Source organism: Homo sapiens, chromosome 7 (genome assembly GCF_000001405.40).
Source record: "Homo sapiens chromosome 7, GRCh38.p14 Primary Assembly".
Lineage (NCBI taxonomy): Eukaryota > Metazoa > Chordata > Mammalia > Primates > Hominidae > Homo > Homo sapiens.
The window spans coordinates 155,451,689-155,467,258 of record NC_000007.14 but is presented as its reverse complement, the minus strand read 5'-3'; the positions used below and the strand labels follow the sequence as shown (position 1 = coordinate 155,467,258).

Here is a 15,570-nt window from a genome sequence, read left to right as displayed (position 1 = left end):
CGGAAGAGGGGTCCCCGCCCGGAGGCCCGGCGCCGGGGCAGCAGTGTGTGCAGGGGCGCGTCGGGAAGGGGGGACCCATCTCCCCGGAGGCTGATTTCTGCCTCACCCGGCGAATCCCCGCTTTAGGAATTGCACCTTGGCCCTTTGTCGTCAGTCGCTATTAACCTCCCAGCGCGCGGCGGCTCAGCCTGGCAGGCTGCAGTTTTCGGCGGAGCCGGGACCCTCCCGGGGGCGCTTCGGGAGCCGCCGAGGCGAGCGGAGACCGCAGAGGGCGGATATTAAACCAGCGGGAGACAGAATGACTTCTAGCAGAACCCCAGCGAACAAACGCTGCCTCCCGGCCGGCTCCGCGGCGGCAGGCATATTTGCATATAGAGTGTCTGGGCGTGTGTTGCGCGCACTGGACGCCCGGGCGCACCTGTGTCCAGCGGTGTAGGAGCCCCCATCGATTTGACCTTTTCACTCTAGGAAAACAGAAATGCTGGCGCCCTCTTGGTGGTCAGGCTGGGGTCATTCACATGGCTCCTTCCCTCCGCTCCTTAGGAGAAAGGCAGGGCGGGTCGGCATTGCTGCTGTCGGCGGGTGTAGACCCTGGGATTCTGACTCCAGCCCCCACTCATCCAGCCCCGTTGGCAGAGCTGGGTGCAGCGGAGAAGGAGGGCTCTCAGCGCCAAGGAGCCCCGCCAGGCCCTCTCTGTCCCGCACTCTCGCGGGGGCGCCTGCTTGGGCAGGCCTGCAGGGCGGCGGGTCCTCCGAGGCCAGGACTCCCAGACCCTCGCGGAGTCTCTGCCCGGCTATGGAGCAGTGTGGAGTAAGCTCAGCCTGGGCCCGGCGGGGACACAGCTAGGCCTCGGGCGCGGGGGTCGTTCAGCTCGAAGGAGCAAGGACTTTATAAATGAGCTTTCCTCTTCTGCACACTTAGGGAACCCTCCTCCTGTGGGGTAACAGTCTGGCCGGGGGCCCAGTCGTGGGGCGGTGTCTGCAGTCCGGGTCCAGATCCGCGGCACGCAGAGCCCGGGAGGCCCGAGAGGAACCAGCGGGCAGAGGACTTGGGAAAGGCGCACCGACTTCCCTGCAGGCCTGACTCCGGTCTCCATGGCGAAAGCAGGCAGGTGGCACAGCCGCGGCTCTCCATGAGGGAGCAGCTTAGATTATATGCTGTTGGATTAAAATGTAATAAACATAGGAGTAAAAAAAAAAAAAAAAACTCAGCGTTTCAAGGGTCTGAGGACTCATCCAGTTCCAAAGAGAAAGAACACTCTCCATGCCACTGTAAGCCTAGCGTCTGCTTGAACACCTCTGAGGACGGGGAACTCATTACCTTACAAAGCTGTGCCTTGCCCCTTTTCAGTGTTATACTTTGAAAACAGATTTTTAAAAAAATGATCGCTTCATGTTACCGTATTTTTATTAAAATAAGAGAGAGGCCAATACGGCAATAGAAGTTGTGCCAGTATTTTTTGTTTGGTTTTTAATCTACGAACTTTCTGAACTGTTCAGAAGTCGGGGTTCGCGGGGAATGCGTGGTCTCGCGCCATCAGCGATGACCCTGGGGCGCAGCTCGGGCCCAGGCAACGAGAACTCGGGAGTCTCCGCGGTGAGACCCCAGCTCTCTCCTTCCAGGGTTCTGAAAATCCCGAGGGGCAGCCCCCAGACCGCTTCCTGGCAGGGCAGAGGCCCAGCCCAGAGGCCCCGCTTCCGCCTGGGAACGCCAACGGCCCAGCTGCCTGGGGAAACAGAAAACGCCTAAAAAGTCGTCTTCGGTAACAGATCACCAGTCTCTGAGTTTCTTTTACAGGGAGAAGAAAAAAAATTTTTAAGCCATGAAAGTTTGGAAAAACAGCAATTCAACGCGTAGATCACTCGCTCAAAGACCCCAAACACTTCCTGATGAGCGGAATCCAGAGGCGCGGTCAGCACAGGCGAAGCTGATCCCTCCCCCAATCCTGCTTAGGAAGTTGTACAAAGTCTTTTGTTTTGGGGGGGAAACAACAAAAGGTAAACAAAAATGACACTTTGAAAAGGAGAGTCTCTTTGTCTCAGTGGAGTAAAAAGTTCCTGTCCCCAGGGGAAAGCGCCTCGGTCCAGCACGGGTGGCAGGGCCAGTGAGCACCCAGCCGGAGGGAGACCTGTTGAACTTCGCAAAATTTAAAAAAATGTAGTCACTGGAATAGCACCGTAGTTTTGAACACTTCCTCCTGGTAACAAAATGTGTACTTCTTTTGGTTATTCTGTGCTCACATGTGACATATCCAAACTGTCTTATTTAAAAAAAAATAATAATCACCTCTCGCTACAAAGGCACCTGGCACCTGCTCCCAGGCGGGGCGAAGGCCATGAGCACCTGAGTACTGGGGAGGATGCCCAGGCAGTTCCTCTGGACTCAGACATGCTTAGAAAACTCATCATTCCACCTGGGACCTTCAGTATTTTATAATAAAGAGATTTTGTTTTATTTAATGTAACCTTCAAGAATTTCAACACACAAAAATGCGGGGGTGGGGGTGTTCACAATTTTGATAAGCACAGTTGTAAATAGAAACATTCATTCATTTCTCATAAGATTATAAATATTTGATACTGGAACTGTAAAATGCACATGTTTTATAAACTAAAACAACAAAGAAAACAAAAAACAGAAACCAACTTTGCTTCCTGCTAAAAAGGCATGTCATTTCATTGAGTTTCCTAAGCAGCAGATGGTTATTCAGACTTTTAAATTACAACTTTTGTTTTTATACTTTCCTTTTTAAAAAGGTTTACACTATTATGTACAACGTAAAACTATTACTGCAATGAAATAAAGAGGTTTAAGGCAAAGAGCGAAGTTCACCCTCAGTCCTCAGGGAGACCAGCGGGACTCCCAGCTCAGCCGTGTGCACACCCCTGGGTCAGCCGTGGGCACACCCCCTGGGCTGTCCCAGCCACAGATGGACAGTTGGATTGGTCTTTCCCCATACACTAAACAGAAGACAGTGTGGCGTTATATATAGATAATGTGTTTGTTTATATACATATATAGGTACTTGGTGGGAAATATATTGAATATATTTAATTTACACTGTACCACACCTTCAAAAATAAAATGTATATTTTAAAAAACAAGAAAAGACAAAAAGTGATGATAAGAAATGATTATTTACACACTTTCTTCCTTCTTCTAGATCCTGGAGGATTCTGAGTTCTTTTGAAAGACAAGGTAGCCACATGTTTCAGAACTGTGGACTCAAACACGCCTGGTGTGTGTGTGTGTGTGTGTGTGTTCACATGCATGCAGACATATGTGTAAACACACATATTTATCTTGGAAGAATGTTCTCTATAGCAGAAGCAGCCACTCCAAGAAAAGAAAAAAATAAAGGAAAAAAAGAAAAAAATAGGGAAGAAAAGAAAAAGGAAAGGAAGATAGATGATGCCATCTCCCTCTACAGAGCCTTCTGCCCGCCCAGAAACAGTGAGCCATGGCCTCATTTCTGGGACCCTGGCTGGCACCCATGATGGCTGGTGGAGTCACAGGAAATTCCTGGGGCCAAGCCAAAAGGAGGGTCGCCCCACCGCTCTTGGGCTTTAGGCCACACACCCCAGGCCTTTAGCCCCAGAACCTCGAAGCGCTTCTGCATGGAGGCAGTGCCCAGGGCAGGAGGGTTAGGCCTGCGGCAGGACTGCGGTGGGACTGGGGACAGCGACACAGACCACAGACGCAGACGATGTATGCACACGGTTGGGCCCTTGGTGAGGAGGAGGAGGAAAGAGAAGGAGGAGGAGGAAGGAAGGAGGAGGAGGAGAAGAAAAAGAAGAAGAAAGGAGGAGCAGGAGGAAGGAGGAAGGAGGAAGAGGAGGAAAAAGGAGAAGGAGGAGGGAGTTAGGTGCAGGAGGGTGAGGAGAGGGAGCCGGGTGAGGCTGCGGGCCTGGGCGGCTGCTGGTGAGCATGGAGCCGACTTCCCAGAGCAGGCCTGGGGTACGCTGGGCTGCTTCCCAGGGCCAAATCCCAGAACTGGCCCAAGGACCCTGGAAGTCCCCTCTCTCCCACCAGGTCCCCTAAGCTCCCCAAGGCCTTGAGGTGGCTGGTCCAGGCTTGAGGTGTGGGCCCCTCCTGCTGTCCTCACCAAGCCAACACAAACAAAGTGGCAGAAGTCATAGACCAAATAGGAGCTATTTATTCGGTTCACAGTTGTGTGAAATGCAGCAATAAAAAATCTTTGGACTTCAGCAAGTTGTTTTAATTTTTTCTTCTTTTGGAATAATAAAAAAGTGTCCAATGTCATATAATGGAGCTTAGGGGATTAAAAAAAGGTGAAACCCTAAGCAGCCCCCTTCGCAAAAAAGAAAAAAACCCATAAAATTAGCATAATCTCATAAACACAAAAAACTCAAAAAAATATTTTATAGTCAGATATTTTGGATTTTATACCACCTGTAAATGATATATACATAGAATATTTCAGAACCTTAGCTAATACACAATATTTTCACTATTAATGCTGGTATAATCTTTATACACTGGCCCTTTATGATTTTAAATTATTGCATTGTTTAGCGCGGACTGAGACCTGGCCTCCATGCCCCCCGCCCTACTCGCTGTCCGACTTGCCCTCCTTGGCTGTGGTGGAGTGGTTGTACAAGCCCTGTGCCATGAGGTGCACGGCCAGCGTGTTCTTGTTGCCCGTGGCCTTCTTGATCTTGGCGCGCTTGTTCTGGAACCAAATCTTGATCTGTGACTCGTTGAGGCTCAGCTCCTGCGCCAGGCTCTGGCGCCGCTGCTCCGTCAGGTACCTGTTGGTCTGGAACTCGGCCTTGAGCCTCTGCAGCTGCTCGGCGGTAAAGGCCGTGCGCGGCCGCTTGTCCTCTTTGTTCGGGTTCTTCTTCTTTGGTTTTCGAGACCTGGGACCTGGGTAGATACGGTGGACAGAGAGAAGTCAGGTTACCCAGAGGTGTGCCACCCAATAGGCACCGGGTAAGGATTCTGGGGCCCCAAGAGGGAAGTGACTCGCCCAAGGCCACTCGAGGCTGAACCGCCAGATGTGGGGCTAGACTTCGGACTGGGCATGGGCTCAACGCGGACCTCCACCACTTGGTGAGGGAGGACTGCGTGTGATGTAAGTGGGACTATGGGGCAGGCCTAGTGGGCAGGCTGACCACAAATGAGGGGTCTCTAGATAAAAGTAAAACTCCTGGATGTAAGCAAAACTCCCCACACTTTCTGGCCTGGTTTTTCCTAGTCCTTTCTGAGGCTCTCTGTTCAGGAACAGGGATGGCGGTAGGTGCTGAGAGAGAGGGGAGGAGAGAAGACTGGGAAAGGCTGCAGGGCGGTCACAGAAGCAGGAGGCGCCCTGAGGGCTATGATGGGGACCCTCATGGGGATACCCCACAGGGTGCCAAGGGCTGTGGGAATCAGGGGCAGGTGGGCCCTGAGGACAGGAGGGGCCCAGAGTGTCTGCCTCCACCCAAGCTCCTCTATGACTCCCAGCCAAGGGCTCTGTGGACCCAAGTTCATTCCTTTAAGGAAGAGTCAGTGCATGTACTTCCCTCCTTGGTGGGGAGGGGCACTGAGCTACTCACAGTGGGTGAGTCCTTCACCCACTGGAAATCTCCCAGGTTTCCTGTCCAGGAGAGGGGACCTGGCTCTACAAGGGTGTTGACTGCACCACCCTTTCCCCAGACATGGGACTGCTTCACTGTGGGCAGCAGGGTAGCCCAGCTGACCTTGTCCAGGTCCACTTCTGACCCTCCCCACTGTGCCTCCCAACTGGGATTCAGACTTATGAACCTGACCTGGCCTTCTCCCTGTGGACCTGCCCCAGGTTTTGGACAGGGTCGCTGTAAGGCTTCTAGGACCTGCTATCCATGGGGAAAGGGCAGAGGGAGGAGAGCAGAAGGAGGGAAGTGTCATCAGTTTCTTTTTGGTGATAAGAGGCTCAACCCCCTGGCGTTCCCTGTGGGGGAAGAAGGGGGCAAGGCCACTGGCAGGGAGTGGTGACCTCGCCTCTGGGTTTCAATTTGTGCGGTGTATGAATCGGCTTTAGGGAGCATCTGGCCCCAGCTTCATCACAGGTCCCTGTGGCTGGAGAAGGCTGGGGGCCCCCCACCCTTCAGGGCCGGAGAGCTGCCGGGCACACTGAGGAGAAGAGGAATGTGGATCTCCTTGGAGGCCCTGGGACTGCACCCTGCCCAGGTCAGGAGAGTCAACTAGGGTGCTGGGGCTGTGCCCAGCAAGAGGTGGGGGACGAACTGGAGGCCCAGGGTGAATGCCAAGCACTCCCTCATGGCCAAGTGAGTCTTGTGCTCTCTCCAGGAGACAGGCCTGGAGAAAGAGGATCTGTGGGCACCACCTCAGGAGCACCAAGGGCAGCTTTTAAAGCAACCCATAGGCAGGCTCACCACCCATGAGAGCACACACCCTATACTTGGGCACCCACCCCATGCACACGTACACACTCAGTGCCTGTCTTGCTCACGCCCAGGGCTCCAGGCCAGTGGGCCTGGCTTTGGTAGGGGTAGGTGCAGATTTGGAGATGGGGTTGGCCCTCCGGAACGGTGGTGGGGGATGGGGCACAAGGCTCCAGGAGAGGCCCCAGCCTCCTGCTCCCAGAGCCCATCTCTGTCTGGGTTTCCAACCACTCCCTTCCCCAGAACTCTACCCCCAAACTCTTCTGGTCCTGGGGCTCTTGTTAATGCACTCATGAAGCAGCCCGCAAAAGGACACCATTTTATGGCAATAAATTTCCCTAAAATAATAATTTTTAGGTTTTTTTCTTGATTTTCTTTCAAAAGACAAATACTTAGGAGTCTCAGAAACAGAATCAAACCTCCCCAAGAAAACTCTCTCTCCCCTTTCTTTCGGAGAAACCAAAGAACAGAAACATTATCTTGCAGGGATATTTTAAAGCCCATGAAGATAGGCGACTTGGGCTGGGCTGAGCTGGGCCGGGCCAGGCCGGGCCGGGCGGTGCTGCCCAGCTCCCGGGCCGTTGGGGGCTGGCTCAGCGAACTCCCGCGCCGCACAAAGCCCGGCCGAGTCTCCTCGCCCGGCATTGTGAGCCTGTATGTTAATTAAATATTAACAAAGGAGGAAGACGAGAACAATGGAGCAAATTTCAGATCTAGCTGAGAAATCTGAATTTCATCAGAAATATGCACGCATAGTTCTGCGGGATGGCGGCCCAAGGGTTGGCTCACTCCTGCTGTGATCTGGGCAAATGACCCCCGCAAAATAGTTGAGGGTTTGGGGGCAGCGGGGATCCGCTGCCAGCTCGGGGTCAAACAGTCCACTTCTAATGGCGGTTCCCAGCCGCAGACCCGCATGGAATGCAGTTGATGATTTCTACAAGGACATGGACTTAGTTTTTTAAAATCGCAGATCTATGAAAAAATATATCCAGCATCTCTGCAGGGCCCCTGCGAATGCTGCCTCTTTCCCATCAGCAGCCCCCAGGAAACCCTGAGAGAAGGTCCTTTCTATTTGGGGATGGCAGGTGCCGGGAGGGACGGCTGCCTCCCTTGTCCTCGCTGTGTGCAGGAAGGGGGCTGAGCCCCACCACTGCGGGCTGGCGCTGGCAAACAAAGTGGAGCCAAGGGGAAAGGGCGCCTTTATTTTCCTCCTTCCCTGTGTGCATCCTCCTGAGTCCCACCGGTCAGCGCAGGCCCGAGGGGCAGAAGGCAGAGCGGCAAAGGGCCTCGCCTTTTCTTCCCCGAGCACAGCCGGGATAACCGGATGGTAGGACAAGTCTGGGGTGGGCTGGGGCATGCGTCCCCGGCCTGGCCTGAGTTGGAAGATCGTAGGGAAGGGGATGAGAGTGTGCACTTCCGGGCCCATCTTCCAGCCACCACGTTCCCACCAAAAAAAACTACAGTGGGGGAGACATGGGCTAGGGGCTGGGAAGAGATGCGCCAAGGCGGGGTGGAAGACAGAGAGGGGAGACAGGGAGAGAGGAAGGAGAGAGAGAGACAGAGAAAGAAAGAAGGTCCCTTCTGCGGTCCTAAGAAGTCTGTACCCCCTAGCGAATCAGTCCTGCCGCTGGACTCCTGGCCGCTGCCCGGGCCGGCGTCAGCTTCACACAATGTCGCGTGAGTCTTTGTGCGTGTGCGCGGGGGAGGTTCGAGATGTTTTCCTCCCGGTAAGTTCCCGCGCCAGCACCGCCCCCCAGCTCCGCGGGCCTCCCCGCGGCGAGCCGGGACGCGTGGTCCCCGCGGGCTCACCTGAAGAAGGCCGGTCCGAGTAGCGCGTACAGTAGACCCACGCCGGCCAGAGCATGGGCTGCGCGCCCAGGTTGGCGCCGGCTTGCGAGCTGTCCGAGTCCGAGCTCACCGACAGGTCGCCGCCGCCCAAGCCGCGGGCCTTGAGCGACCCGTCCAGGGGGCCGCCGGGGTCGCCGCCTTTCTTGGCGCCACCGTGCAGCGAGAGCGTCTTGGAGCCGCCTTCCCCGTCACCCGGAGAGTCGCTGCCGGCGGCTGGGAGCGGCCCGCCCGCGCCGGGCGCACATGGCGGGTTCTGCCGGGGCTCTCGGGAGCCCGAGCCCAAGAGCTGCTCCGAGCCGCCCGCGCCGCCGCCTCCCTCCGCACCGCTCGCGCCGCCTTCGCCGCCGGCTCCGCCGCCCCTTCCTCCTCCCGCGCCCGCACAGCAGGTCCCCGCGTCCTTTCGCCGGCCGAACTCGGGCCGCAGGATGTTGTCGATGAAGAAGTTGGTGATGCGGTGCGGGTGCTGGTGGTTGCCGGGCGCCTGCAGGACCGCGGGCAGCATCAGAGCCCGCCGGCGCCCGGTGTCCGCTTCGCCCGGGCTGCTACCGCCGCCGCCGCCCGAGCCGCCGCCGGGGCTGGATTCCGGCTGCCGCTGTCCCTCCACCGCCGCCGCTGCTTCGCCAGGCTTGGGGTCATTCTCCTCCATGCTGTTCACAGTAAATCCCACACTGGTTCTCCGGGGACGCCCTTCCAAATCAGCCTTCGGCCCTCCCGCGGCGCACACGGAGACCCCCGCGCCCCCACCCCGCCGAGTCTTCCGAGGGCGTGCGCGGCGGCCGCGGCCAGGGCTGAGGTCCTACAAGTCGCCGGCCGCGCTCGGCGCGGAGCCACCTTTGAATCCACGAACTGGGTTAGAAACACCACGAGCCGCCCCGCTCGCCCAGACGATGAGAGATTCAACAGAGCCAAGTCCTCGACTTCGCCGCGCAGCCGGGGTCTAGACAGTCGCAGTGGTCCGGCGGGGACGCGGGCCGCCTCCCGGGCTCCCCGCTCCTCTCCGCGTCCGGCCGCCTCGGGCTCCGGCGCCGCCGCCTGGGCCGCCCGGGGCGAGAGCTGCGCGCATGCAGGCAGCGCGTTCCCCGGCGCTCACGCCCGCCCGGGCCGGCTCCGGCCGCCGCCGCCGCCCGGCCGTCCCCGCCCGCACGCCCTAGCCGGCCCTCGAGGGTGCCGGGCGCCCGCGGTCAGCGCGCCCGCCACCGCCCGCACGCACATGGAGGCCCCCTCCTCGCGGCCGCCGCCCCGCTGCGGGCCGGGGCGCCCCACCGGCGTGCGGCCGCGCCCCCGCCGAGCCCCGCAGAGCTCCGCGGCCCGAGTCGCATGGGTGAGAGACGCGAGGCCAGGGCCCGGCCGGGCCGGGCTGGGCCGCCCGCGCTCCCCGGCCGTCCGCCGCCCTCGCCGCCTCGGCCTCCGCGCGGGCTCGGAAATTTCCAGGCCACTCGGCGCAACCTGAGACACTTTCACTCTGGATTTTTGTTCTTATTTTTAACAGAGCCCCCTCGAGTGACGTCGCAGGCCGGTCTCCTGGACACGTGCCTCGGGCCAATGGCCGCGGCGCCGCGCGCCCACGTGACGCTCCGGCCGCCGCTGGGTGACAGGAGCAGCCCGCCGCCCCTCCTCCCCTTAAAGCGGCCGCGTCCCCCGCTCCGGGTGCGGGAGCCCAGGAACCCGGAGAGACCCCCGACCGCGTCTCCTGCGCTCGCCCGCGCTTTCCCTGTCGCTTCGCGGTTCAGGGGTGTGAGTCACCCGGCGACAGCCCCGCCAGGTCACCCCGGGGCGCGTAGGTGGACACGCACAGGAAGATCGCTATTTTTAAGATTTCCATATTGTTTACCGTGGGGCGAAATCCCACAATTCCTTGCACAAAATGCATAAATAATATTAAATGAGCTGCCGAGATACAAAGGGACTTTTGTGGTCCGCTTTCCTTGCTGATGGAGAGGAATAGTGTCACTCCCATTTGACTCGGTAACCCGGCAGCTTCCTGTCTTAAACGCAGAGCTGGCGCGCAGGACACTCCTCCTGCAGACACTTATTGTAAGTGTGCGTGTGTGTGCGTGTGCAGGGAGGCGCGTGCATACGGCCGCATTCCACCCGGGGACAGCGACCCTCATGAAACATGCTTAGCGATCCGAAAGAGCGGGGGAATGCAGTATGCGGCTCCATTTGCGAAGGGAGAAATCCAGGAGCCTCGGAGGTTCTAAAGGAATCCTTTTTGCCAAGGAGAGGAGGGGTGACTGTTCAGCTAAGACTTCAAAACCAAGTCGCCCGCCCCCCTCTAACTTCTCTACTCTGATTGAGGAGCTCCCAGACCGGTCATCTCGTTTTCTTTGTTTTAAAATCCTTTAAACTAATTTTGCCGGAGAGCAGGGCCCATTTGAAACGAGAATTAGGAATCCAACGGCAAGGGTGGGAGCCCCAGTTGGTTTCTCCCCTCCTCTCTCTTCATCTTTTCTAGACTTTCCTTCCAGCTGTTGTCAGAATGTCCAACTGGAAGTTCTGTTTCCTCTTCTCTTCCCCCTCCTCCCTCGGGCTCCTTCCCATTTGCTCTTGTCTACCCACCAAACACCCGTTGTTACCCCAGGCTCGCCTGTCCATCATTTAAAATGCATTTTTATGGAAATGTGTGAATTCCTGGAAACATCCGATAGGGCAGCTCTGGGGGTGCGGGAGCATTTGCACGCCATGAGTACCCTCAGTGCGGGGGAGGCGGGGAGGCCGCAGCCTGGCACGGACACCCTAGGGCTGATTGGCCCTGGGCAGCTGCACCGTGCTCAGCAACCCAGACCCCCGCAGAGGCAGCCAGCAGGTTGCTGCCAGGCCCTGAGTGAACTTGGGGAGTCTGGCAAGCATCTCCGAGGCAGCGTGGCCTGCCAGGCCACCTGGGGCCTGAAGGTTGCACCCTGGCCTTGCGAAGCTCCTTCCCCAGTGTCCATCCCACGTGCTGTCCTTCCCCTGCAGGCTTCAGAGTGCTGGCTGGGCTGGGATGAGAAACGACAGTTCCCACAGCTGCTCCCAGGAAAATTACCCCCCCACCCAGGACGGGAATGGTGGGGGAGGAGGTGCTGGGCTGGCCTCCTGGCCACTGGACGTGGCTCTGGTCAGAGTGTGCCCTCTGTCCGGTGTGTCTAGGGCAGGGTGGGGAAGCCTCTTCTCGCTGGGGCTGGATTCCTCCACTTTTTCTTCATTGGAGGAGTCCTTACCAAATGTTCTGGCTAGGCACACATCTGCCAGGGGTCCTCCCCGAGTCTCAAAAAATCAAACCCCACAGTCTACCTGCCCCCCGGGAAAATAGGGCTGGTGAGAGTTTGTGGGAAGTCTTATTGACGCTTACTTGGTTTTTTGGGGGGAGAATTTTCTGCAACTCTGGAAACTCTGATGATCACCAGTCAGGAAAGGGAGGGTCCAACGACTCTGGGTCTCCTGAACATGATATTGGGGGGAGGAGGGGCCCTGAGCTCTTTGGTTCCTGCAAAACCATCCCAGGTTAATGGCTCCACCTGTCCCATGAAAGCCAATTAGGCGGCTTCCTGAGAAGTATTTTCTGAATTCTTGGGACTCTTTGCCTCTGACTGCCTCAGTATAAATGGCCCCAAGACGCTGGGCTTCAGCCCTGTGCTTTCCTGCGACCCAGACCCCAATTCGTGGCTGCAACAGAGACTCTGGGAAGCAGAGCGTCACCTCCAGGGCGCCTGGCGGGCCGGTGGGCAGAGACCTGCCCTCGCAGGGTCTGCGGGCTGGGCCCTGGGGTTGGCTGGAGGAAGAGGAATTCGTGGGTCGCTCTCCTGGAAAGGAGGAAGGTGAGAGGTGGAGGGAGGAATAGGAGAAAGAGAAATAAATGAAGAGAGAGATAACTAGAGGGTACCGGGCCCCCCAGAGTGGACCCAAACACGAAACAACTCTGGGAAAGCGGTAAGAGGGGTCACCGTTCAAAGGGCCGGGGAAGCTGGGATGGGGCTGCAGAAAGTTGAGCTGCCCAGGGGCTGGGCGGTGCTGAGTTCTATACACACGGAACTCCGCAAGGTGTTTCAGGAAGCTTCGAGAAGCGCGCATGAGGACCGGCCTCGGCCGCCTGCCCCAGCTGGGACGGCGCCTCGCGCTTTCTGGGGATGCGGGGCAGTGGCGTGTCTCTCCTCTGCGATGCCAGCCCCGGCTGCCGCGCTCCCGCGAGCCCAGAGCCTCCGCTTTCTCCCCCGAACGACCGCCGCCCTCAAGGTCGGCCTTTCTGTGCGGATCAGACGAGCCCTCTCCGGACATTAGTTTCTCCCGGGATGGAAAGTGGGGCACTGACCCGGGAACCCCGTTTTCCCTCTAGCTTCACCCAGGAATCGGAGAGCGCCCGCGACCACCCGCTTGCGGAGGACGGTCCTCCATATTTCTCAGGCTCGCTGCACAAAGAGGGGCCTCGGAGAGGGCGAGCAGGAAAGCAGCTTCCAGACGCCGTGCGCTTCAGGACACGGACGCTAGTTTTGCAAACAAAACCTCAGTGAAGCGCCCCGGAGACACCGGGCGCCCGGATGCCGAGCCAGGCTCCCGTTTTTATCTGAAAACGAGGCCAGAGAAGGGTGACTTTTCCGGCCCCTCTGCGTCCCCTCCACTCGCCTCGCTTCTCTAGCTTGACGTGGTGACACTTGGAAAAATGGACTCAATGAAAGCCGTTCGCTCGCGGCGGTCTCGTTACTCGCGGGGCAGAGACGCCCAACAATCCCTGAGAGCGAGATCTCCACCTCAGCCAAAGCAGGCCTGGCCAGCCCTGCGCCCTCGGCTGGGAGCCGAGCCCCGCAGCCAAGCCCCAGGCGCCGGGCGGGGAATTGGGGCCGATAGGAGAGCAACACCTTCCCCGGGGCGAGCAGAGAGCCACCGTCGGCTCCTGGGGCTGACGTTCCGACCCGGCCTGTAGACAAAGGCCGAAACGAAGGGGCGCGGGGAGCAGGGGTGGGGCGGGCGGGGCCAACGGGCGGACATTGCGTGTCTGCGCTCTCCTCTGGGCGAAGGAGGACCGGCCTACAGGCCCACCGGGCGAGCTCGGGGACGGGGTCTGGGAGGCTGGGTCTAGGGTCTGAGACTTCTTCAGAATAACCCCCGGAAGGAGGGGGTTAAATGCGGCAGCGGCGGGCCTGAAAAGGGCCAGGAGCGTCGTAGGAACTGGGGTGCACAGGCCCTCGCGTGCCCAGCGCTTCGCCTTTCCCCGCCCCAGGCCTGCCAGGGGCGCGCGTGGCGCGGGCAGAGCCTGGTGGGTGGGTTGGCGCGGACAGAAGCTCTGCCGGGGAGCGGGGAGGGGGGGGCAGTCGCATTGCACGTCCTGGTTCTGCCCCGATCGCTGGAGAAGCGCCTGTGCTGAGCCCAAGCTCCCTAGGTGTTGGGGAAGCAGAGTGGGCCAGGAGCCGACTGGGGACCGCCCTTCTGTCCTGACTTGATACTTAGCCCAGGCTCGCCCGGGGAGGGGGGCGGCTGGGGGCAGGTGGGCAGATCTCCAGAGCTGGCGTGTAAAGATGCAGAAACTGTCCCTCACCTGGTTTCTCTGGAAAGCAGCTGCTTCTGAAGGAGAATCTGAAGGATGGCTCTACTTGTGCTAGTAACCCCCACACCTAAACCAGGTCCTCTGTGCCCGCTCCCCCTTCCGGCTCTCCAGCGCCAGGGGAGCCTTATTCTGGGTGACCTGCCTTCCCAAGAATCGCCTTTCCTTGGCAGCTCCCTGCCTGCTCTCTTGTCCTGTTTTACTGCTGTTCTTATTCCTATAAAATTTGGACTCCTGTGGAAGGTGGGCCCACTTCCACTCAAGGCCCACCCCTGAGACTCCCCAGACAGACCTGCACTCTGGAGTCTCCCGGGAGCCCTGGGAGGGGCAGGTTTGGGAGCACAGACTGTTTCACCACCTAATGCCTGGACTCTTATGAAAATGCCCCCTCAAAATCACAGCAACCCAGAAGAAAGTGGCACCTCTCAAATAATCCAGTCAAATAAGTAAAATTAGTTTGGCAAAGGAATTTGAAGAATGGCACCCAAGGCTTGAGCTGGCTAAGCCTACCAAAACAGGAAGGAAAACACAGAAAAGGATAATGAGCCTTGAAGTACACTAGCCACCTTCTCCAGCCTTGCGACCATTCACAGATGGAAGAAATTCTAGTATGTATCCACTGCCTTCCTTTTGACCTTTGGAAAGAAAACAAGATGTTCAAAAGGAACCCCTGAAACACCAGCCCCACCTCACAGAGGCTGACATTTTCTTTTCTTCTATTCTTTCCCCAAAGGCTACAAGTAATCACAGAGAGGCTAGTGTAGCTTAAACTCTTATACAGTGACTTCCCAGCATTTTTGGAAATAGGATTTGCGTAGCTAGAGGTTTACAGAATTTTAGGCAAGTACAATCTAGATTTAACTCAAACCATCTGGATCCAGCCCAGCCAAACTACCTACAGCTTGTTAGATGATAACTCATTAGTCTAGGTTTCACGTGAGGAAGAAAATATCTAAACAACCACTCCCGCTCTTAAATATCACAACTGAATCATGCTTAACCAGGAGAACTCAATTAGTTTATATACTGGCTAAGCTGGGGGAAATATATTTTTAAAAACATATGTTTAAGTTAAAGTCATGAACTGATTTCTTTTTTCATTCATCAAATATAAATAAAGATATATAGTTTTATATAAAAAGGCAACTAAATTGCGAATTAAATTCAAACATTTCCTCTACTTAGTTAAATGATTGATCAGTTCCTCTGAGTTCAACAAAGTTGGCCGTTTCTTTAGCACGAGCATCTTTAATTGACATACATGCTTACATGTATGGTATGGGGGGATCCCTGTACCCAATCAATCCCTGTGTTGAGTATAGAAGCTTGTGTGAAGCGTGGCGACCTTTTACAAGCACAAAGCCTCAGTAGTGACCTTCGTGGACTCACACGCGGAGGGGCACTGTGTCATCTCTGCATCATGGACTCCTGCCTCTAGCCTTGTCCAAGGCCCAAACCACCTTTCCGGGGGATGCCGTCCAGTCTCACTCCCACCAGGGATGGGGACCTGCTGTCCACCTTTGGACGCACTCCCATCCTTTCCCTCTCATCCCAGCACTTCTGGTTCCACTTAAAGAAAAGCTCAGTAGAACAAGATTTCTCAGTTAGGGCACATTATAGAAGTGCTCTGTTTCTCCTCTAAAAAACTCCTCTTTTCCTCTCGGAAACTCACTCAAATATTCCAGCCCTCTCCAGAAAGGCTGTGCTATAGTTTATGTTATGGAGTTGCAGGGTTTTGTGTGTCTCACATCAGTTAATCCCCTAAGACACAACAGCCTCTGTGATGACGGCAAAGTTGAGCAACTCGACACCATTTGGAG

General features: G+C 56.9%; 1 protein-coding gene and 1 long non-coding RNA gene across 2 annotated transcripts in view, besides 3 other annotated features; one reads left to right on the top strand and one right to left on the bottom strand.

The window, feature by feature from the left end:
• On the bottom strand, positions 2,428-9,130 carry EN2 (engrailed homeobox 2). The gene is made up of 2 exons (NM_001427.4): positions 8,197-9,130; positions 2,428-4,888 (listed from the first exon to the last, which is right to left on the bottom strand). Exons 1-2 carry the CDS (start codon positions 8,879-8,881, stop codon positions 4,572-4,574), a joined length of 1,002 nt encoding a protein of 333 aa, NP_001418.2. The 5' UTR covers positions 8,882-9,130; the 3' UTR covers positions 2,428-4,571.
• Positions 9,477-10,468: an enhancer, noted in NCBI's record as "H3K27ac-H3K4me1 hESC enhancer chr7:155249486-155250477 (GRCh37/hg19 assembly coordinates)". NCBI's record gives its function as "activates a minimal SCP1, AML or CMV promoter by ChIP-STARR-seq in primed H9 embryonic stem cells {active_cell/tissue: H9 hESC(primed)}" and the evidence as "EXISTENCE:reporter gene assay evidence [ECO:0000049][PMID:30033119]".
• Positions 10,141-15,570, top strand: part of EN2-DT (EN2 divergent transcript) — a 35,913-nt gene continuing 30,483 nt past the window's right edge. The window contains exon 1 of the long non-coding RNA NR_186580.1: positions 10,141-10,269. This is a non-coding gene — a long non-coding RNA (EN2 divergent transcript). The remainder of the gene's footprint in view (positions 10,270-15,570) is intronic.
• Positions 12,392-12,917: an enhancer, noted in NCBI's record as "H3K4me1 hESC enhancer chr7:155247037-155247562 (GRCh37/hg19 assembly coordinates)". NCBI's record gives its function as "activates a minimal SCP1, AML or CMV promoter by ChIP-STARR-seq in naive H9 embryonic stem cells {active_cell/tissue: H9 hESC(naive)}" and the evidence as "EXISTENCE:reporter gene assay evidence [ECO:0000049][PMID:30033119]".
• Positions 12,918-13,443: an enhancer, noted in NCBI's record as "H3K27ac-H3K4me1 hESC enhancer chr7:155246511-155247036 (GRCh37/hg19 assembly coordinates)". NCBI's record gives its function as "activates a minimal SCP1, AML or CMV promoter by ChIP-STARR-seq in naive H9 embryonic stem cells {active_cell/tissue: H9 hESC(naive)}" and the evidence as "EXISTENCE:reporter gene assay evidence [ECO:0000049][PMID:30033119]".

Coding starts and splice junctions, on each gene's coding strand:
- EN2 (NM_001427.4), bottom strand. CDS start 8,881: ATGGAGGAGAATGACCCCAAGCCTGGCGAAGCAGCGGCGGCGGTGGAG. Junction 4,889..8,196: donor CTCGGACCGGCCTTCTTCAG/GTGAGCCCGCGG, acceptor GTATCTACCCAG/GTCCCAGGTCTCGAAAACCA.